The 21742-nt window shown below is 45.2% G+C and overlaps 4 annotated features.

Moving 5' to 3' along the window:
- Positions 14501-15700: an enhancer, noted in NCBI's record as "CDK7 strongly-dependent group 2 enhancer chr12:12111509-12112708 (GRCh37/hg19 assembly coordinates)". NCBI's record gives its function as "activates an origin of replication core promoter dependent on BRD2, BRD4, P300/CBP, MED14 and CDK7 cofactors, with strong dependence on CDK7, by STARR-seq in HCT116 cells {active_cell/tissue: HCT116}" and the evidence as "EXISTENCE:reporter gene assay evidence [ECO:0000049][PMID:35650434]".
- Positions 14501-15960: a biological region, named in NCBI's record as "CDK7 strongly-dependent group 2 enhancer GRCh37_chr12:12111509-12112708".
- Positions 15666-15960: a silencer, noted in NCBI's record as "tiled region #8951; HepG2 Repressive non-DNase unmatched - State 21:Repr". NCBI's record gives its function as "represses a minimal TATA promoter and a strong SV40 promoter by Sharpr-MPRA in HepG2 cells {active_cell/tissue: HepG2}" and the evidence as "EXISTENCE:reporter gene assay evidence [ECO:0000049][PMID:27701403]".
- Positions 19648-19857: an enhancer, noted in NCBI's record as "active region_5999". NCBI's record gives its function as "activates an Ori minimal core promoter by ATAC-STARR-seq in GM12878 lymphoblastoid cells {active_cell/tissue: GM12878}" and the evidence as "EXISTENCE:reporter gene assay evidence [ECO:0000049][PMID:35858748]".

The raw sequence follows: 21742 nt of genomic DNA, 5'->3' as shown, positions 1-21742 counted from the left end.
AGTTCTTTCCTATTGAGCTGTTTTGGCTCCAGTTACAGTTAAACTAGTCCAGAACTGAGAACAGACTCTGTTGAAATCACCTGTGAGCAGAGGAGAAACAGGGAAAAAATAGTGCCACTCCTTTCCCCAATTTGTAAGTAGATTAGGACATTGTAGAATTTTGATCTGAAATTTTGTTCATGGTAAGCATGAACTTTTCAATCTCCCTTTCTTTGCCAGTATTTGAGATAGTACCTCAGGACCTTGCATCTGTTTTCCTGGCAAGATAATCAAGCAATGTCAGGCACAAATAGTTTAGCCCCTTATTAAAGTTGTCCTAGTGTTCTGGAGTGTAGCTGGCGCTACTGTGAGGAGGAAAGGAGCAGGGTGAAGGGGTGTTTGAAAGAGGACATGTGTATCAGTAGGTACATATTTAGTAACAATTTCACTTATAAACCTATGGATTTTTACAGAAATCTGAATCCCAACCAAAGAAAGAAAGAGTTGTCTATCCAGTTCTTTTCCCTCTTAGCCCATGGCCAAGTTTAATTTCTGCTCCAAACCAACATCGAAAGAGAGAAAAAAAGCAACAACAACAAAACACCCTTTTGCTCCCTGAAGCACACAATGGACTCGTTGATCTGAGAACAAGTTAGTTCAATTGCTTGCTTTACCTTGCTGCTGGGAAAAAAAGCAAAAAGCTCCTATGAAAACACGGCTTGTGGGAAAAGTTGCGATTACTCTAAAAAGCTTTTCTTTGTTTCTGCAGACACGCTACTCCACAGAGCTTGAGTTGTATAGTGAGCAGGACACAGAGCTAAAAGTCAGGCCTCACAGATTGTTCCTGGCTAAGCTACTGAGCCAACCTGTGGCCTGGGAATGCCCAGCAGTCTTCTCGAGGTACCCATAGGAAAAACGGAGGTGAACACAGTGATTCCTCTGTGTGGTCGTATTCTTGGATTTCTGCCCTTCAGCTTCGAAGGATACCACCGTGAACCCCCTGAAGACACAGAGAAGAGCATCTTCCTTCTCTACCTTTTGGATTGGGTGAAAGACTGAGAACTGCAACCAGCGAGGCTGATGTTTCTGTGCACACCTTAGTTAGCTGTGCAGCCAGGTTTTCCCATATAGAAGGGGCAATACTAGGATAGACTTCCTGTTCACATGTTCAAAGCTGAGCTAAAACTTGTACAGAGCTTTTTTTCCAGGGTATGAGTGCCATAAACCTGAATCAGACTTTCAGATGCCACATCCATTGGCATCTTGAAGAAGAAATTCAAGAAAATGGGCTGAGGCAGACCTGGTGGCATCTGTCCCCTCTTTATGGTGAGGGAAATTCTGGCTAAGGCTGCACTTGCTCAGCTACTTTCCTGCAGGGTCAACATTGCATTTCTGGAATCTGCTGTAGCTTTGGGTCATGCACTGAGACAGGAATCATCTTCTTTTCAGGATTTAGTAGACCAGGAGGGTTTTTTCCCCTTCTTCTTTATTAAATCATACATAATTAGATATTAAATTCAATTCACTCTTCCTGTTGTTTCGGAGATGGGCAGAATCCTTTTTTTTTTTTAATTATACTTTAAGTTTTAGGGTACATGTGCACAACGTGCAGGTTAGTTACATATGTATACATGTGCCATGTTGGTGTGCTGCACCCATTAACTCATCATTTACATTAGGTATATCTCCTAATGCTATCCCTCCCCCCTCCCCCCACCCCACAACAGGCCCCGGTATGTGATGTTCCCTTCCCGTGTCCATGTGTTCTCATTGTTCAATTCCCACCTATGAGGGAGAACATGCGGTGTTTTGTTTTTTGTCCTTGCGATAGTTTGCTGAGAATGATGGTTTCCAGCTTCATGTCCCTACAAAGGACATGAACTCATCATTTTTTATGGCTGCATAGTATTCCATGGTGTATATGTGCCACATTTTCTTAGTCCAGTCTATCATTGTTGGACATTTGGGTTGGTTCCAAGTCTTTGCTATTGTGAATAGTGCCGCTATAAACATACGTGTGTATGTGTCTTTATAGCAGCATGATTTATAATCCTTTGGGTATATACCCAGTAATGGGATGGCTGGGTCAAATGGTATTTCTAGTTCTAGATCCCTGAGGGATCGCCACACTGACTTCCACAATGGTTGAACTAGTTTACATTCCCACCAACAGTGTACAAGTGTTCCTATTTCTCCACATACTCTCCAGCACCTGTTGTTTCCTGACTTTTTATTGATCGCCATTCTAACTGGTGTGAGATGGTGTCTCATTGTGGTTTTGATTTGCATTTCTCTGACGGCCAGTGATGATGAGCATTTTTTCATGTGTCTTTTGGCTGCATAAATGTCTTCTTTGAGAAGTGTCTGTTCATATCCTTCACCCACTTGTTGATGGGGTTGTTTGTTTTTTTCTTGTAAATTTGTTTGAGTTCATTGTAGATTCTGGATATTAGCCCTTTGTCAGATGAGTAGATTGCAAAAATTTTCTCCCACTCTGTAGGTTGCCTGTTCACTCTGATGGTAGTTTCTTTTGCTGTGCAGAAGCTCTTTAGTTTAATGAGATCCCATTTGTCAATTTTGGCTTTTGTTGCCATTGCTTTTGGTGCTTTAGACATGAAGTCCTTGCCCAAGCCTATGTCCTGAATGGTATTGCCTAGGTTTTCTTCTAGGGTTTTTATGGTTTAAGTCTAACATTTAAGTCTTTAATCCATCGTGAACTAATTTTTGTATAAGGTGTAAGGAAGGGATCCAGTTTCAGCTTTCTACATATGGCTAGCCAATTTTCCCAGCACCATTTATTAAATGGGGAATCATTTCCCCATTTCTTGTTTTTGTCAGGTTTGTCAAAGATCAGATGGTTGTAGATATGCGGCATTATTTCTGAGGGCTCTGTTCTGTTCCATTGGTCTATATCTCTGTTTTGGTACCAGTACCATGCTGTTTTGGTTACTGTAGCCTTGTAGTATAGTTTGAAGTCAGGTAGCGTGATGCCTCCAGCTTTGTTCTTTCAGCTTAGGATTGACTTGGCAATGCAGCCTCTTTTTTGGTTCTGTGAAGAAAGTCATTGGTAGCTTGATGGGGATGGCACTGAATCTATAAATTACCTTGGGCAGTATGGCCATTTTCACGATACTGATTCTTCCTACCCAGGAGCAGGGAATGTTCTTCCATTTGTTTGTATCCTCTTTTATTTCGTTGAGCAGTGCTTTGTAGTTCTCCTTGAAGAGGTCCTTCACGTGATGGGCAGAATCCTTAAACTCAGAAAATATTACAATAGGTATTAACTGACACCACATTATAAAGAATATGAAGAGGAACTGTTATTCATGACATGCTAAGAAATGATAAAACCAGGCCTGCTAAGACTAATAGTCACCCACCTCCAACCTTTAAAGAGAGTTGAGACTGGGCGTGGCCACTCATGCCTGTAATCCCAGCAGTTTGGGAGGCTAAGGTGGGAGGATCACCTGCACCTAGGAGTTCAAGACTAGCCAGGGTAACACAGTGGGACACTTGTCTGCATAAATAAAAAATTAGTCCCAGCTATTTGGGAGGCTTTGGTGGGAGGATTGCTTGAGCCCAGGAGGTTGAGGCTGCAGTGAGCTATGATTGTGCCACTGCACTCTAGCCTGGGAAACAGAACAAGAGACACTGTCTCAAAAAAAACAAAAACAAAAACAAAAAACAGCCAAGAGTGCAGATTCCTTTGGAGGCACGTGTTAGAAGGCTCGTAGAGCAGAGGAGTGAGGGACACTTCCCCTCACTGTAAGCCAAGTGAGAGGGGCTTTAGGGGGCTTCCGTATACTACTGGGAGTGGGAGGAATATGAAGACTGAGAAGTGACAGTAAGATAGGCCTGAGAAGGAAGAACTGCAAAAAGAGAGGGAGGGAGAGTGAGTTGCAGTAGGTGTGAGCTGCAGTTTCCTAGACAATGGTGAGGAAAGGCATCCATTATCCATGGATATAGATTGAGCCATGCGGGAGGCAGACAGCCCGGAGCCTTCCTGAAGGGACTCTGTCCATAGACCCCCCTGGACAGATGCGGTGACCAGTGTGAGGAGATCTCTGGGGGGAAGCTGAACTTTGTGCCTCCAGAGAAGCCTCATCTGTTTTAAGTAGGATGCTCTATAACTTATCACCTAACTGGAGATACTTTTGAGAAAGAATCCTTTCTCAAATAGCTGCCTACTAACAGATAGCTGAGGCAACAGAATTCCACTGGAACTGTCCCTGCAAAGTGGACATACGGTCACGTTTGTGTTATGTTAACTGAGTTGGAGGTTCCCAGGACAACCTGCAGTGTCTTTCACAAAAGGGTCAGCTTTGCATATCTGCCAGGCTCAGCGGGCACCAGCACCAGGTTCTGAGCGTCCCCATCATGTAAGACTGCTGCTCTTTTCCTCTAATACCCACTGCCCTGAGTCTGATCCTGAATGGCTCAGAAGCGGCAGCTGGGGAGTGTGCGAGGAGGGTCAGTGGGGGAGATGGGGAGGACATTGGCCACACAGCCCTGCCTGGCTACTGGCAAACAATCACCATCTGCAGTCTTGCCCTACTGTAAGAGGGGAGACTCTCCAATATAAATAAAAGCTCAGGGTTTGTATTATTACCATAGCCTGGCTACTTAAAATACTCAAATGAGGTGGTGCCTGCGACTGAAAATGACCCTTGTGTCCGGGAATGACTCAGAAAGCCACCTGCCTTGTCTGAAATCTCAACTAGGGGCAGAGAAAGAACCTCTTAAAGAGAAGGTTTGAAGGGACAACAGAAGAAAGAAAGTTGTTTTATGATTGTAAACTATAGAATATATTTCATTTATTAAAATATGACTAAGAGGAAATATGAGCACCTCACCTGAATTGTGCACAACTACTACACAAATTGAGTTGAAGTTTTGAGAACTTCCCCAAGAGGCTGACTCTCAGCATTCCTCATGCCCTGAAACGAAGCAGGAGTGTAAAATCGATCTAATCTGGTTGAATTCAATTCAGGAGATTTATGTCTAGGGCCTAGCACATACTTAGCCCTTGATAAACATCAATGAATATGAGCTAGTGTAATGATTTACTGAGCATCTACTATGTGCCAGAGACGCATATTATCTCATTACTTATAATCACCTTATGAGGTTCAAGGTCCCAGCTCCCCTTCTTCAATCATAGAGTTAGGATTCCAACCCAGTTTTCTTTCTGCTATCCTCTTTTACCATCCCAAGAGTTGCCAAACTTCTTAAAGAACAGAGCGAAGAAGATACACTTGAGTTAGTCTGTTTTTGCATTGCTATAAAGGAATATCTGAGATTGGGGGATTTATAAAGAAAAGAGGTTTTATTTTGGCTCACAGTTCTGCAGTTCGTACGCGAAGCATAGTGCTGGGATCTGCTGCTGGTGAGGCCTCAGGAAGCTTTCGATTATGGAGGAAGGTGAAGAGGGAGCCAGTACCTCCTATGATGAGAGAGGGCTAGGAAGGTGCCACACTCTTTGAAACAACCAGATTGCCTGTGACCGCAGAGCAAGAACTCATTACCACGAGGAGGGCACCAGGCCATTCATGGGAGGTCTGTCCTTACCACCGGGCCCCACCTCCACCACCATGGGAGGTCACATTTCAGCATGAGATTTGGAGGAAACAAAGCATCCAAACCATATCACACTTCGTTAATTTTAGAGACTGCTTTGCAGTCAGGTATGGTGGTTAAGAGGAGTGACGTTAGTACCAGATGGCCTGCGTTCAAATCCTGCTTTTGAGCCTTACAAACTGTGTGACCTTGAACAAGGTGCTTAACCTTTCTGTGCTCCTATAAAGGGAAGTGATAATATTGGTTATGTATTTCATAGGGTTGTTGTGAGGTTTAAATTAGTTAATATGTGCAAAGGGCTCAAGAAGATTTTAATATGTGTTTAAAAATACTGACCGTTTTTTAAAAAAGTTGACTGGTATTATTTATATGCTTTGATTATCTCATTTCCCAGATGCTTAGAGCACAGAATTCTCCATGGCCCATGAGATTATAAACACTGCATCCTGATACTAAAGGACTCTAACCTGCCCTGGAAAGCCTTATTTCGTCCTGTTCTCTGGTCAGCCAGGGCCCTCGCTGCCCCTGTGGGAGGTCAGCCTCGTCTTGTCTGTTGTTTCTGCTCATGTCACCCCCCCACCGCCTGCCACTCTCACCTCCCAGGGTTCTAGGTTCTTCCAGTTTATATTATGGCAGAGATTAGATCTGCATCTGTGATGACCAATCTTTCATCTTGTTGCTTTTCTCCCCTTTCATGTTATTTGCTTTTCTCAACAAAGGAAACTTGCAACTTCAGGTCAAATTTCCTTTAGTAAAACTTTCCCCCAAGATAAAGTCCTTCCCAGAAGGCTGCTTGGAACAGGAATCTGAGAGCTTCCTTTTTCCTTTGCTGGCAGAGTTTCCTGTTTGCCTTTATGGTTGAGCCAGCCTGTGCCCCAATCACTGTGGATGGAAGGGACCCTCCAGGAGGCCGCTGCAAGACTCTTGTTGGAGATGCCTTACTATGAACTCACGAGCCAAGTCTGAGAAGCTGCCTTCGCTCTTCACCTTGCCTTCCCCACTTTTGCATTTTTCAGTTTATATCACCAGACTGAGTATTGGTTCCACCACCAGGCAATGAAATAGCCTCCTCCCTGATTCCGATCTATCTTCTCAGTACACGCTGATCTGTGGTAGACAGAGTCTATATTAAGGGCGCTAAATGTGAGGGCAGGCTTCAAGAAGGCTGGCTTCGAAGCGGGCCAAGAGCTCCTTGTTAGGCAGCCAAACCACAGGCGACAATGTTTGAAGTTGTACCAAGTGTCTGGTCAAAGCAGAGATGGTAAGATTAAAAAAAAAAAAAAACCTGCCTTAGAAATTGGGAATTGGAAAAAGATAGAATTTATTCCATGCTGAGCAGCACATAGAGGAGATGAAGCTGGTCTAAAGGAAGGAAAAGTGTCTGGGAGGTGAGAGCCCAGCTAGTAGGAAACAGCTCCAGAGGGAAATGGCCAGGTGCGGGGGGATGGAAGAAAGCTGGGCAGAGGTGTCCTAGAGGATTAACGAGAGGAAGACACTGGATTCACATGGCTGCAAAGAGGACTCTCAAGCTGGAACACAGAAAGTTGGCCTGGAGTGCACCAAGAGAGAAGACTTGTTTGACAAAGGCCCGTAACAGGCAATAGGGCATACTGGATAAGACCATGGGGTTCTTGAGACAAACTGAGTTTAAGTCTCATCTCAGTAATTTATTAGCTAGTGAAGTTAGGCAAATAATCTGTGCCTCAGTTTTCTTGTTTTTGAAATGGGCTAATAATCATGTCTACCTCTTGGGTTGTTGTAAGGATTAATTGAGATAACATGTCTCAAACGGCCTAGCAGAGGACCTGACACAGTACTTGATCAATAATTGTCGACTGGCGGCAGTAGTCAAGTGGTATCTCGAGGGCAGGTGTCTCAATGAGCTGCTGGTCTGGAAGAGGGTAGGGGTGTCCTGAACAAATAGCCAAGTTATGATTTCCCTCTTCATAGACGGTGTCCTGGAATTCCTTACAGGGTGGGAAAGGAGATTTCTACTCAAAACAGTTGGCTGATTGGTGTGATAATGAACCTGGGGTGGCCGCCTGAAAGGGGGTCAAATTTAGAGTCTGGAGTGAAGAGTCACCTTTAACTCCCTGGGAGCATCTGCAGGGAGAAGTGAAAATCAACTTTATTTCTGGATGATTCCCTCATGGTGAGTTTTGCCTTTGGAGAGCAGGAAGTTGGAGACGCAGCATGGCGTGGAGATGAAGGGAACGTGCTGGAACAGTGGTTCTTGGTTGGGAGTGTCCAGTAGAATCACCTTGAGGCTTGCCAGGACACAGATGGCTCCACCTGACCCCCCAAATTTCTGACTCATTAGGTCTCTGATGAGTTCCCAGGAGGTGCTGATACAGCTGGTCCAGGGACCAGACAGTGAGAACCATGGCTACAGAGTCAGACAGACTTGGTTTTAAATTTTCATCATTAAGTAGTTTTATGACCTTAGGCAAGTTATACAACCTCTCTGATCTTCAGTTTTTTCATCTGTAAATAGGACAATAATTAAAGACAAGTTAAAAAATATATACAAAGTATCTAGTACTCAAAAAACAGGAACTATGATGAGTAGAGGGTAGAGACTGAGCAGGAATGGGAGACTTCAGGATCTGGAAAAAACTGTAATTCAAAAAGTCACTGGCCTGGAGTGGTGGCTCACGCCTGTAATCCCAGCACTTTGAGAGGCCGAGGCGGGCGGATCACTTGAGGTGAGGAGTTCAAGACCAGCCTGGCCAACATGGTGAAACCCCGTCTCTCCTAAAAATACAAAAATTAGCCAGGCGTGGTGGTGCGTGCCTGTAATCCCAGCTACTTGGGAGGCTCAGGCATGAGAATCACTTGAACCCGGGAGGTAGAAGTTGCAGTGAGTTGAGATCACACCACTGTACTCCAGCCTGGGTGACGGAGTGAGGCTCTGTCTCAAAAACACAAAACAAAAGAGCACAGAGAGGCCAGGCAGAGAAGCCAAGCTGCTGCTTCCCATTCTGCTCCCCTCTGCCCACATCATCAGTCACCAAGGTGGGCGGTGCTGGGAGTTTGTGTGGGGCAGAGGCACCCAAGGCAGCTTCCGAGAACCTGGCATAAGGGAGGACTGGGCTATTTTGAGCAAAATAGGTATTTCTGGCTTGTTTTTTCAGCTTAGTAACTCAAGGCAAAAAATCACATCCCAGAACTATTTTAAAGGCAGAGGAAACCTCCACTGAGCCGTAGCCCCCTCCTACACAGGGCTCTCAGGGCTGGATTTGGACTCCCAGAAGAACACAGTGTATCTGGGCCTCTGTGCTGGGCTCAGAATATTCTCCTGCGGCCCCATCTGTGGAAATGGAATCATGCTTCGAGGTTCTTTGCCTCAGTGAAGCTAGTGGCCCCTCACCGGCTGGTTTAATTTTTAACTCATCATCCGTTTTTTTTTTCCCCCTAAGGTTGTAAGCACTGCAAAATCATGATCTAGAACATATCTTTATATGCATTCTGTGATCTTTGGCAAAGGGCTGACCGGCTCAATAAATGGTAAACAATAGAGGGAGAAAGTGAGGAAGGAAGGAATAAAAGATGGAAGAAAGGAAAAAAGAAAGGGAGGAAAGGAGGAAGGGTGGGAGAGAAGGAAAGATAGAAGAAGAATGGAAGGAAGAAAAGATAAAGAAAGAAGGGACGGAGGCTGGGTGTGGTGGCTCATGCCTGTAATCCCAGCACTTTGGGAGGCCGAGGCAGGAGGATCACTTGGGGCCAGGAATGCAAGACCAGCCTGGGCAACATGGCAAAACCCCATCTCTACTAAAAATACAAAGATTAGTCAGGCATGGTGGCGCACACTTGTAATCCCAGCTACTTGGGAGGCTAAGGTGGGAGGATCCCTTGCGCTCAGAAGTTCAAGACCAGCCTGGGTAACAAAGTGAGACCTTGTGTCTGTACAATATTTTATTTTAAAATTAGCTAGGTGTGGTGGCACATGCCTATAGTCCTAGCTACTTGCGAGGCTGAGGTTGGAGGATTCTTTGAGCCTGGGAGGTCAAGGCTGCAGTTAGCCATGATGGTGCCACTGTTTTCCAGCCCTGGTGACAGAGCAAGACCCTGTCTCAAAAAAAAAAAAAAAAAAAAAAAAAAAAAAGATGGAGGGAAGGAAGAGAGGGAGGAAGGATGGGAGGAAGGAAGGAAGAACACGTTTCCTCAGCTTTCCTTTGGTAAGGCTTTCATTTCTCACATTCGGAAGAGCTGACTAGAGGGCATTTCCTGCTTCTGCAGAGGTTACTCCCGGGGAACAAGCTCAAGGCCTGTGAGATTGCACAGGACACAGAGGAGCATCCTAGTCACCAAGCTCTGGAACAGGAGGATGAAGGAGAATCAGAGGGAGTTTGACAGAGGTGGTTTGAGCTTTCTTGTTGCGTAACCTGAGACCTGCCTGATCCCTTTCTCTACCCGACGCCTGCTCCCAGAAGGAAGTGATATCTTTCTCCTCTGAACCCAAAAACCACTCCCTTTCTATGGACATGGTGTAAGGGCGGGTTGTGGGTGCTCTTGGGTGGCCCATGTGGGCAGAGCAGCTGACCACCACTCTGAGCATCTTCTCCTTTTTCCCATCAGTAAAATCCACAGGTCAAATGAGATTCCCAAGTGCTTCCACCCAGTCTCCAAGCCTCAGCTCATTTTGGTTTATGTGGCGTCAAAGGCCTCAGCAGGTCCACAAGCGGCAGGAGGCCCGACTGAATACATTCACCCGTTACCCGTGTTCCGGGCCCTTCGGCTCTGTGGGTTTGGGCCCAGATGATCTCTCTGAAATTTCATCCCCCCTGTCAACACAGTGCTGATGGGTGCCCCTCTTTGTTTCTGGCCCCCAACCCCTGCTCAGGAGCACCCACCTGTTTTCCATTTTCAGCTGTGTGCTTAGAAACACCTTGACTCTTCTCACACCTGCCAGGTAAATGGGTTCTCTCCTGCTCCATCTTGCTGTTAGCCCCTTTGGTCTTCTGTTGAGCTCCCTAACCTTTGCAGGGCGGCTAGTGCCTCTGGAGATAAGGGATAGTCTCTAAATTCTCAGCGGGTATTATTAGTATTTGCATTCTAAAATAGAAGTTTCTAAAGGCACGATCAATATTACCTTTTATTTTATTAATAGCTTCCACACTTAGTTCAGCCCCCTGAATACGTCCAGTAAAGGACTTTACAAATGGCGTCCAGTAAATACTTTACAAATGTTCCTGCCTTCAATGAGGATTTACACATCTGAATTCATGTAAATAATTTAAAGAATACTGGTACTTAACAACTTCCAACTTCATTTACTTTTTCCATTTTCTTCCATGCAGATTTATTTCTTTACTGTTTCCTCTGTTCAAGGCTTTATTTCATTTCTTTCTTTTCCAAGAATAAGATAATATATTGAACTCATAGCTAGAGGTAAATAAGTAACTTCCTGTTTAAATTTAGTTTTAGCCTACATTCTTATCTGTTATAATTACAGCATTGAATTATTTTAAGAATCTACCTACAATGGGGAACTCTTCTCTCCCCATGTTCTGCTTCAACCCATAAAGGAAGAAACTTCCACTAACATTGCCACTTTTTTGAGGAACTGCTATGCTATGTGTTTGAGTTGGTTTGGGCTGTTGTAACAAAATAGCACACTGGGTGGCTTAAACAACAGAAATGCATTTTCTCACAGTTCTGGAGGCTGGAAGTCCAGGGTCACGGTGTGGGCAGGGCTGGTTTCTCCTGTGGCTTGCAGATGATCACCTTCTGACGGTTTCCTCGCTTGGTCCTTTCTTCTGCGGCAGGTGGGAAGCGAGCTCTGGTGTCTTTTCCTCTTCTTACAAGGGCTCAAGTGATCTGCCCTGGTTCTATCACATTAGGGTCCCATCATCATGGCTTCATTTAACCTTAAGTCCCTCCATAAAGTCCCTATCTTCGAACACAGTCACACTGGAATTTAGGACTTCAACATACTAACTTTTTTTTTTTGAGATGGAGTTTGGCTCCTGTTGCCCAGGCTGGAGTCAATGGCGTGATCTCGGCTCACTGCAACCTCTGCGTCCTGGGTTCAAGCGATTCTCCTACCTCAGCCTCCCGAGTAGCTGGGATTACAGACATGCGCCACCACGACCAGCTAATTTTGTATTTTTGGTAGAGATGGGGTTTCTCCATGTTGGTCAGGATGGTCTCGAACTCCCGACCTCAGGTGATCCACCCACCTTGGCCTCCCAAAGTGCTGGGATTACAGGCATGAGCCACAGTGCCTGGCCCAACATATGAACTTCTGAGGGACACAGTTCAGTTCCTAACACTTGGTTGCTGCTTTTTTTTTTTTTTTTTTTTTTTGAGACAAGGTCTCCCTCTGTCGCCCAGGCTGGAGTGCAGTGGCATGATCTTGGCTCACTGCAACCTCCGCCTCCTGGGTTCAAGTGATTCTCCTGCCTCAGCCTCCCAAGTACCTGGGGTTACAGATATGTGTCACCACGCCTGGCTAATTTTTGTATTTTTAGTAGAGACAGGGTTTCGCTATGTAGGTCAGGCTGATCTCAAACTCCTGGGCTCAAGTGATCTTCCTGCCTTAGCCTCCCAAAATGCTGGGATTACAGGCATGAGCCATCATGCCGGGCCTTGGTTGCTCTTCTCTATAAGAGAAGGAGGAATTAATTGGATGGATGAGAGCTTGATACATGCATTGGGCCATATTTTTAGGGGTTGGAGCATGATGTAAAGACAGGGTCTCCTGGTGCCCCACCTCCTGCTTCCTGGCCCTCTCTGTGGAGGCCACAGGATGATGCTGTGCTTCTGGCCACCCAGTGAGCAGACTTGGGCTGCCCTCGCCAAGCCCCTCCTCGGGTCTTCCTGCTTTTCAGCCTGGGTGGCCAGTGCTGCACGGCAGATCTGTCTGCCTGCAACTCTGAGAAGGAGTGGAGTGCCCCATTTTGGTCCAGGCCAGGGTCTCCAATCAAACTTCATAAGAAAGCCCAGTTCTTTGAATGTGAGCTACTCGACTCCTGTATTTTAAACTGCACCCGCCCCCTGCATTCTAGCCTTTTCCATCCCTTTCCTCTGCTCCCTTTGTTTTCTCCGTGGCACTTTTTGTCTTCTGACATTTCTCCAGTTCATTCCTAAGAATTTTTAACATGCTTTCAAACAGCTTTCTGAAAAACATACACTGAAAGGTTTCGAGGTTAATTCTATCAAGGAAGGTGGGGGCATATTTAACTTAGGAACAAAAGCTTTTTAGGTGCAGCCAGGGGAGAGTATATTAACTGTTTTCAAATATGTAAAGCATGGTGTTGCAGAAGCATTACAAACAGGCTCTAGAATTTTAGCTTATGGAAGCTGTGGAAGGGAATGGTGATGATAGGGAACATTTATTGAATCCTTCAACATGCCAGGCAGAATGCTAAGGGCTTTTTGTCCATTTTTTGTTCCTCGTGATATAGCTAACACCATTCACCCCATTTTACAGCATTTTCCTGCCTCAGCCTCCCGAGTAGCTGGGATTACAGGTGCCTGCCTCCAAGCCCGGTTAATTTTTGTATTTTTAGTAGAGACGGCGTTTCGCCATGTTGGCCAGGCTGGTCTCGAACTACCGACCTCAGATGATCCGCCTGCCTTGGCCTCCCAAAGTGCTGGGATTACAGGAAACTGAGCCCCGGTGAGGTGAAGCGGCTGGTTCAAGAGTCCACCTCAGGTCTGCCACATTCCAGGGCCCCTGTGCATGGCGCTAGGCTTAAGAAAAGAACATTCTAACAATCAGAGCTGGCCAGCGATGCAATGGCAATGATTACCATGTGGTCTCTTCTCCGCTCTGAGCCTGATCCAGCGGAGGCTGGGTGACCATCTGTTAGGATTGCTGCAGAAGGGAGATCGATTTAGACAACTTCTAAGTCTCTTTCCAACTGTAAGATCTTAGGAAAACTTGATGGGCAGCCCCATGGGAAAGGAATTACATTTGTTCTTTGTAGCTCTGTTCAACAGAGTAGCATTTCTCAGCCTTCTCCATCTAGAAATCCTCAGTGTCAGAGGCAAGTGAATAGATACTCACTCCTTGGAGGTCTGGATAGAGCTGGCAATGGTTGCCCGAAGCAAACTTTTTTGTGCCAAATCTGAAAAAGAAATGATTTGAATTTTATATTATATACTAAAATATGCTTGTTTGTTTTAATAAAAAATATCTTAAATTGAAATGTAATTTTTTTTTTTTTTGAGACAGAGTCTCGCTCTGTTGCCTGGGCTGGAGTGCAGTGGCGTGATCTTGGCTCACTGCAACCTCCACCTCCTGGGTTCAAGCGATTCACCTGCCTCAGCCTCCCCAGTAGCTGGGATTACTGGCGCCCACCACCAAGCCCGGCTCATTTTTGTATTTTTTAGTAGAGACGGGGTTTCGCCATGTTGGCCAGACTGGCCTCGAACTCCTGACCTCAGGTGATCTGCCCGCCTCGGCCTCCCAGTGCTGGGATTACAGGCGTGAGCCACCATGCCCAGCCTGAAACATATTTTAAAAAGCATAACCATTCAATGCAAAGCTTAAATTCTGTTTCCCTAAGAAATCTTCATTTTAATTTGATTCATAAGGAAAACATGCCTTATTTATTTTATGGGTTTACTGATCCCCAATACATCACCTAGAGTCTCTGGGGGAGCATTTCTCCAAGTATGGGAAGCAAAGCAGTAGTGTTAAGACCAGTGGGGAGAAATTATAGAGAGGGAGATCAGATTTTATCCCAATTCAAGAGGGATCTTTCTAAGAGCTGCCATTGTGCAACAGTGGAATGAGTTCTCCTTAAAAGTAGCCAGTACTACTACTAAAAAATTTCCAAGCAGAGATGGGTCATGGGTGGGGGGAAGCTGCCAGTAAATTCTACTTTGGGAACAATGGTGCCGGAGCAAATTCACAGCCATGATTAAAGGAACAGGCAAAACCCGTGCTAACCACCACTTGAAGAAGACTCTGCACTTATAGGGAAGCCATCATTGGAGTATTAAGAGCTGACGTGGTCCTCACGATGTGCCAACCCCTTTAACCAAAGCTTTGATGTGCCATTTAGTTGTTGGAGGGACGCATATTGTCATCAATCCCATTTTCCAGGTGAAGAAATAGAGGCTCAAGGACATTAAATGCACCAAAGTCTCACAGCTGCCAGGAGTGGAGCTGGGCTTTGACCCTAGGCTGTTGGAGTTGGGTTGGGATTGCCTCTCCCTCCCAGTGCCTTCCCTGACCCTTCTGTCCTCACCCCCTCCCCATGATGCCGCTGCCTTTATTCTCAGCGCTGGCCTAGAAGGGATCTTGTATGAGGGAGGAGGACAGGCGGTGGTGGGTGGTCAGGACACCTGGACTCTGGTTCACACCCTGCCACTACCCAGGTGACCTTGGGAGGGCCGCTTACCTTCCTGTTTGTTTAGGTGCTGATTCATTGTTTCTGAATCTGCCACATGGGCCGTTTCTTCCTAAAACTCAAGGAAACTGTGCCACATCATGAAGGAGTCCCACTCCGCCACCAGTAGGACAGAACTGTAGTAAAAACAAAGTAGAACAAAGTAAACAACCAAGAAAAGAAAACAACCAAAAAGCAAAGCACCTACTGGGAAATGCCTCTCTCTCCTGGGGATTTACTTTCCTGGAAGGTCTCCCAGGCGCGGGACTCAGTACAAAGTATGTCTTTCACTGGACCAGGGAATGTCTATTAAGGGGTGCTCTCTTTGTGGTGCCCACCACCAACATTATAATAGGTTTTATTGGACTCTTCCTACTCACTGTGTATTTACACCTTCACAAAAATACAGATAATCATGCCCAGATGGCTGTTTGGTTTCCAGTTGAAACAACCATGTGATGTGATGTGTCGATGTGGGCCAGAGGTTTCAGCTGTGAATCATTTCTGGGTTTCCTGCTGTTATGGTGAGGTGGTGAGGCATCCTCGGGTTTCCCAGGGAGTCTCTGTGCTAACACTTCCCCCTCCAGAAACAATGAGGATAAAAGAAGTCTCCCTACCAGGGAGCCACGTTTACCACCGAGAGCTTTACCTTATAGCTCAGGGTGGGCGAGGCGAGTGTCAAGGATTTCTTTCCAAGATGCTTCTAAATCACAAGAGGATCTTAGGGGAGTTGAACCACTGTAAGAGTCTCACCCTTCATCTCTGTTTCATTTTTAGAAGAGACTCCTCCACGTGAGAGGCAAATGCACTAAGGCTTGGTATTGTCACATATGCTGGAAAACTTGCCTGAGTGTCCTGAGGGTCTCACAGGCTTTTCAATTTGTAGATTGCAAGAGAAGGCATTCTTTCAATTGGCTTAGCCAGACTGCAAACAGCTCAGAAGAAATGATCTGTTCCCTTATTCATTCCACAAGCATGCCTTGAGCATCTGCTAGGTGGGGCTATACAGATAAAGACACAGTTCCTTCAAGGAGCTCACAAGATGGCTAGGAAGTGTCTTCCATAAACCTGTCAATATGCAGACACAAGTGCAATATCAGAGGCGAATTCAAGGAGCGATAGAGGGAGAAACTGATTGTCTTGGGTAGGATGACAAGAGAAGGACATTCCAGGAAAAGAGCACAAAGAAAGGAAGGATAGAGAGATCCAAAGAGCTGCCACCTGGGAGGAGTTCATTGTGGCCAATGCAGAAAGCGAATTTATAGGTCAGGAGAGTATTGGGGGCTGGAAAACTAGATTGGGCGGATTATGAAGGGGTTTGCCAACCTGACTCAAAGAAGTGCGAATGAAGGCAGTAAAGAGGCAGGAGGCTGAAGGCAGGTCCAGTGGATTGAGGGGCCCAGAAGGGTTAAGATGGGAGAAAATGAATATTAATAAATTTATGAAGGAAATATTAATATTAATAGCAGTAAACATTATTGAATACTTTCTATGTGCATAGTAATGTGGCTAGGTGCTGCATTCACATTTAATACAGTTACTCAAAGAGATGGGTCCTGTAATTTTTTTTTTTTTTTTTTTTTTTGAGACGGAGTCTCACTCTATCTCTAGGCTGGTGTGCAGTGGTGCGATCTTGGCTCACTGCAGTCTCCGCCTCCCAGGTTCAAGCAATCAAGCAATTCTCTGCCTCAGCCTGCTGAGTAGCTGGGATTATAGGCACACACCACCATGCCCAGCTAATTTTTGTATTTTTAGTAGAGACGGGGTTTCACCATGTTGGCCAGGATGGTCTCGATCTCTTGATCTTGTGAACCGCCTGCCTCAGCCTCCCAAAGTGCTGGGATTACAGGCATGAGCCACCATGCCCAGCCAATTATGTGTGTTTTTTTTTTTTTGTTTTTTTGTTTTTTTTTTTTTTTTTTGAGATGGAGTCTCACTGTCACCCAGGCTGGAGTGCAGTGGCGCAGTCTCGGCTCACTGCAAGCTCCGCCTTCCGGGTTCACGCCATTCTCCTGCCTCAGCCTCCAATTATCTTTTATTTAACAGATGAAGAGACTGAGGCTTATGGAGGTAACAGAAATAAACTTCTCAAAGTCCCATAGATAGGAAGAAGACAGCAGCTGGCTCAAACCTTGGTTGTCTTATGCAAGGGAGAAATAAGAAATGTAAAAAAAGGAAAAGAAAGTCAATTTACTTGCCTTCAGTTATTTCTCTGACCATTTAATTATACACCACTCATTTAAAAATATTTTATTTATCCTGGCCAACGCTTTTTCCTCCAAAATCTTTGGTAGAAAGTTTAGTCTTTGCTTTTATCCTTTATTATTTCCCTCTTTTTGCAATCTTTACTACATGTACACAGTTCATTGTGAAAATCTTTTTAGGATGCACTCGTATGAAAAGCATAATGCAAAATGAAAATTCATCTATAAACAAACAGGGCAAACAGCATCTATTTGCGGTTTTCTTTGCACAGGTAGTTTGTTTCTCAGTGCTGAGCTTTGGAGAGGATATTCAGAGTGTCTGTTTTTCCATATTTTCTGAGCAGTACACTGAAGTTTTTAGAATGTGTGCATATCCACTGATATTTTGGCATCAACTGAGATGCAAAGTAATTGAATAGGACAAAAAAATAAAAATAAAAGGAGAGAAATGGTTTACAAAACCACCGTAAGCCTGACTTGTGTATTCATGGGATTTATAAATAGAGTTAGCTATAGTTAGGCTTTTCGTATGAGTGGGGCAGGGAGCAAGGCTGGGATCAGCATATGGATGAACAATAAAGGTATCCTCTCGCAGGTGATGAGCTCTGAGAACCACGTATCCTTGATCCCTGAGCCCTGATCTCTTTCCCTAATGGGGATCTAAACATTCATTCACAGACCCTTACAGTAACTCCAACAGAGGTGTGTTTTTAGGGGCGGAGCGGATGGAGTGAAAAGCTCTTCTTGGCCACACTGTGGATCTCTGTCAGCCTAGCAGCTGGTGAGATGAGTGGATGCTGAGAGTGATCCACAGGTGGGGAGACCTGGATAGTGGCTCTTCCCCTTCTCCCACATGATGGTGTTCGCAAGGGAAGGAAAGGCTCAATGTGATGTTCATGCATGTCCTTAGGACTTGTCAGAAAGGACTTCTAGACGGGGCATCTGTGTATGTACAGTATTCTTCAGAGTCTCGTGGTGGCAGAGGCAGCAGAATTGCCAGCAGCTTCCAAGGTGGGCCAGTTCACCAGGTGCTTGGTCCCATGTGCTAACGTGGAGGACAGACAAACTGAGGAAGGTGCTGTCAAGCTACCAGGGCACACAGAAACCACCACCGGGAACTGAGACATGACGCTTCTCTTGGCCACTCATGAAGCAAAGTCCTAATTCTAGGCTGGAAGGATTTTTAGCTACGATACCCAAGTTTCTTGCTAGTGAAGTCTAACTGGAGTGAGTTGAGAGAGTTTGGGAGAAAACTAGGAGATCGGGAGTGTGGACAACACTTGCAGGGAGTTGTATTGCAAGAAAGGTGAAGAGTACAACAGAGAGGGGGGCAGTACATGGTTGGCAAAGTTCATGGAAGGTTTTTGTTTTTAAGATGGGAGAAATACTAGCCATTGGGATGTATGAGTTAGGCAGCATGGGTCATTATGGCTCTATCGAAAAGGAGGATGTCAAGTGAAAAGAGCAAGTGCAGATTAGAACATACAATATGATAGAATTTATGTAGAAAGAAAAATTCCATTTCTTTATGCGTACATATGTAGTGAGTATCTTTTAAAGATCTTCATGGCATGGTTACCATTAGCCTCAGGCCAGTGGCTGCCTGCTGGAGTGGAGGGAAGTGACTGGGATCAGGGAGGGATGCTCCAACAGAAGTACATGCATCTCAATGCTTTTTGTTTTTTGTTTGTTTGTTTGTTTTTTTACAAAAAAATTGGAACAAAATATGGTAAATTATTGTGTTAGCTAGATTGTGGCTACATAGATATTTATTATTGCCTACGCTTCTCTCTTTACGTTGAAATACTTATAATGTAAAACAAACAACACACAAAAATGTCACCATCATCATCATCAACATCAACCATAAAAAAATTCTCTACTGCTTTGGAGATTTCAAATATAGATCTACCAGAACGTATGAGGCATTGGCTATGATTTTTCAAGGTCTTTTTTTTCCAGCCCGATGCTGTGAAAACAAAATTGCTTCAAGGCAAGCGTGTTGAGTGAAAGGACGTGTTAATTAGTTAATGCCCTGCTTTTTGCCACCTCTCTTCCCACCACCAGGGAGTGTTCTGGCAGGTGGGGGTGACTGTGAGAGGAAGATAGGTAAGTTTTGGATGATGGTTCATGTCAGTAGTGTATACTTGCACCTTGTATTTGGAGCAATGTTGACACATTGGCTCAGATACTTTTGGAGAGAAGTTAAGGTTGTGGGCAATGCCTGGATGGAGACACATGACTGGAAATTAGCAAAATGTGAAGTTTATCATTGTAGGTTTTATTTTCCCTTAATAATCACTGAGAAGCAGGCATAACTGTCTTTTTCTTGATGTGCACAGCCACTTATGTTGGTCTTTGCCGGGTGTTCTCTGCTATCTGTTTATGTTGAAAACTGCAATGACTAGAAGGTCTTATGCTGTAAGGAAGGACAGAGGAGTGGGGCAGGAAAAGGGGCAACTGGAGAAAGCCATTTATAATTTGTCAAGATATGAGTCTAAATGTCTTACTTTAAAAAGTGTCACAAAACAAGCTAAAGGACCTCTCAGAGAGGAAGGTCTAGAAGAGATAGAGCAGACACCCGTTCCTTTTATTTTGGCTGCCCATATTTTTTGAAGATAGAATGCAAGTGCATTATAGCTGATGGATCAATGGAAGGAAGTGCTAAAGAAGCTGGTTTCATTTCAGTATAAGGCAGTTTTTTTTTTTTCCCAAATAATTGAGTGTGTGTCAGAGCCAGGGGCAGCCTCATGCAGCCAACTCTAAGGACGTTTGTACAGATCAAGCTGGGTGGCTTCCTGTCCATGAGGCCATGGGTGGTTTCAGGTTTGCATCAGGAAGGGAGGTTGCATGAGGTCTAATTTCAAGGGTAGACTGATTCTTTGAATGGCAGGGGCTCTTCCTACTGTTTTCATAGCATTATCTCCTCTCCCTGCCATTCTATAGGCACCAAGATAGGAGAGCCTTCTCCCTGAGGGTACAGACTACGAATATCCCAGTCTCCCCACCATGATACTTAGGGATATTGTGCAGATGCAGACGGATCGGCTACAAATGTACTTGAATTTTAGGATAACACTGCAGATTCAGGGAGATGTTACTGGGTGTTCGTTCCTGGATATTGTGGGAAAATTCCCTGCAGTTCTCCTCTAAACAACTTGAGAAAACTGAGAAAGAAGGAAAAAGTCTCGGTGAGGATAATGACACAGCATCTGAAATTGACCTTTCAGGGTTTGGCTTGATTCTTTCTGATAGGCACAAGAGTTTAGAGCTGGGCAAATAAATCCGATTGCTTACCTGTTACGTCTGATCTGGTTGTTTGAAGAACTGAGATAAAAGCCCAACTCTTCATGACCCGTGTCATCTGGAGCTCAGCAGCTGCCACCGACAGTCAAGCACATAGTCTTGGCCTGAGTTCACCACAGGAGGTTCGAGTGTTTGCTTGAGGACTGCTCAGGATGGAGACCTTTGGAAAGACACCAGCCAGATGTCCAGGCGTGCTCAGAGGGGTGGACAGCTGCTGCCTTGTTATCCTGTGATGTGAAGTGGCATTCCAGACCCTTGGAGCTCAGTAGTCAGGGCACAGTCATTCAGATATGGTGTTCAGCCAGCAGAGACGGGGCAGGGTCACAGAGAGGACCTGGGGTAGCAGCACCTGGGGTAGCTCCAGTGTAGCTAAACACTTGAGGATTTCTAGCAAAGGGTTTAGAAATTCTTCCTTTCCTCCCTGGCTCTTTGTTAATGTGCTATATAAATCCATGCCCAAGAAGGAATGGAAAGAAGGAGCTGGTATGGAAAGATGCCTGGCAGCCATTCTCCTCTGTGGCCCTTCACCTTCTGTAACTCCACTCAGCACTCAAGGCAGGAGCATGTGAGAGAATTACTCCTTCCTGCAAAGGAGTAGTTTGGAATATTCAAATACAGTATATAATGGAGCCTCTCACAGATTGCTGTAGAAAACTATCCTGGGTTTGATTAGCAGAAACATAGGGATAATAAAAGCTAACTGTTACTTAGCATCCTTTTCAAAGCATTTTTGGACAATCTCTCACCTGCACCTCTCTGCTCAACAGTATTCTTATTTACAAACGATGAAACTGACTGAGCAGGCGAGGGTCTTACAGAGGTCGTGGGCCTAGTGATGGTGAGACCAGGACTGGACCCAGGTTCCTGCCTTCAAGTCCCATCTGTCCATTTCCATGCCAGCCTGCCTGCTGTTCACTTGTTTTTGGACACTCCAGTCTGGGAGGGGCTGCTTGGGTGGTAGCAGCATCTCTGGACATCCCGAGAGGTCGTGATTGGCCCTGCAAGGCCTCCAGCGCTGGGCACCACACACGTGATGCTCACCTCATAGTCACTCCCAGGAACGCGGCTTCATCTCTCATTTACACCTGGTTTCTCCATACCTTGAACAAATGCACTCAACAAATACTTGCTGAATTAATTTGTTGTGCTATTATTTCTCCTAGTAGATTGTAAGGCAAATGGACTGCACTGTGGTCAATGCTGCACCTGCCATATGAACTATGGAGGGATTTTTGTTTTGTTTCGTTTTTTGAGACAGAGTCTCACTCTGTTGTTTAGGCTGGAGTGCAGTGGCATGATCTCGGCTCACTGCAACCTCTGCCTCCCAGGTTC

This window comes from Homo sapiens, chromosome 12, assembly GCF_000001405.40.
Source record: "Homo sapiens chromosome 12, GRCh38.p14 Primary Assembly".
Classification (NCBI taxonomy): Eukaryota; Metazoa; Chordata; class Mammalia; order Primates; family Hominidae; genus Homo; species Homo sapiens.
Note: the sequence above shows the minus strand (reverse complement) of the source record. Positions and strands in the feature narration are given on the sequence as shown.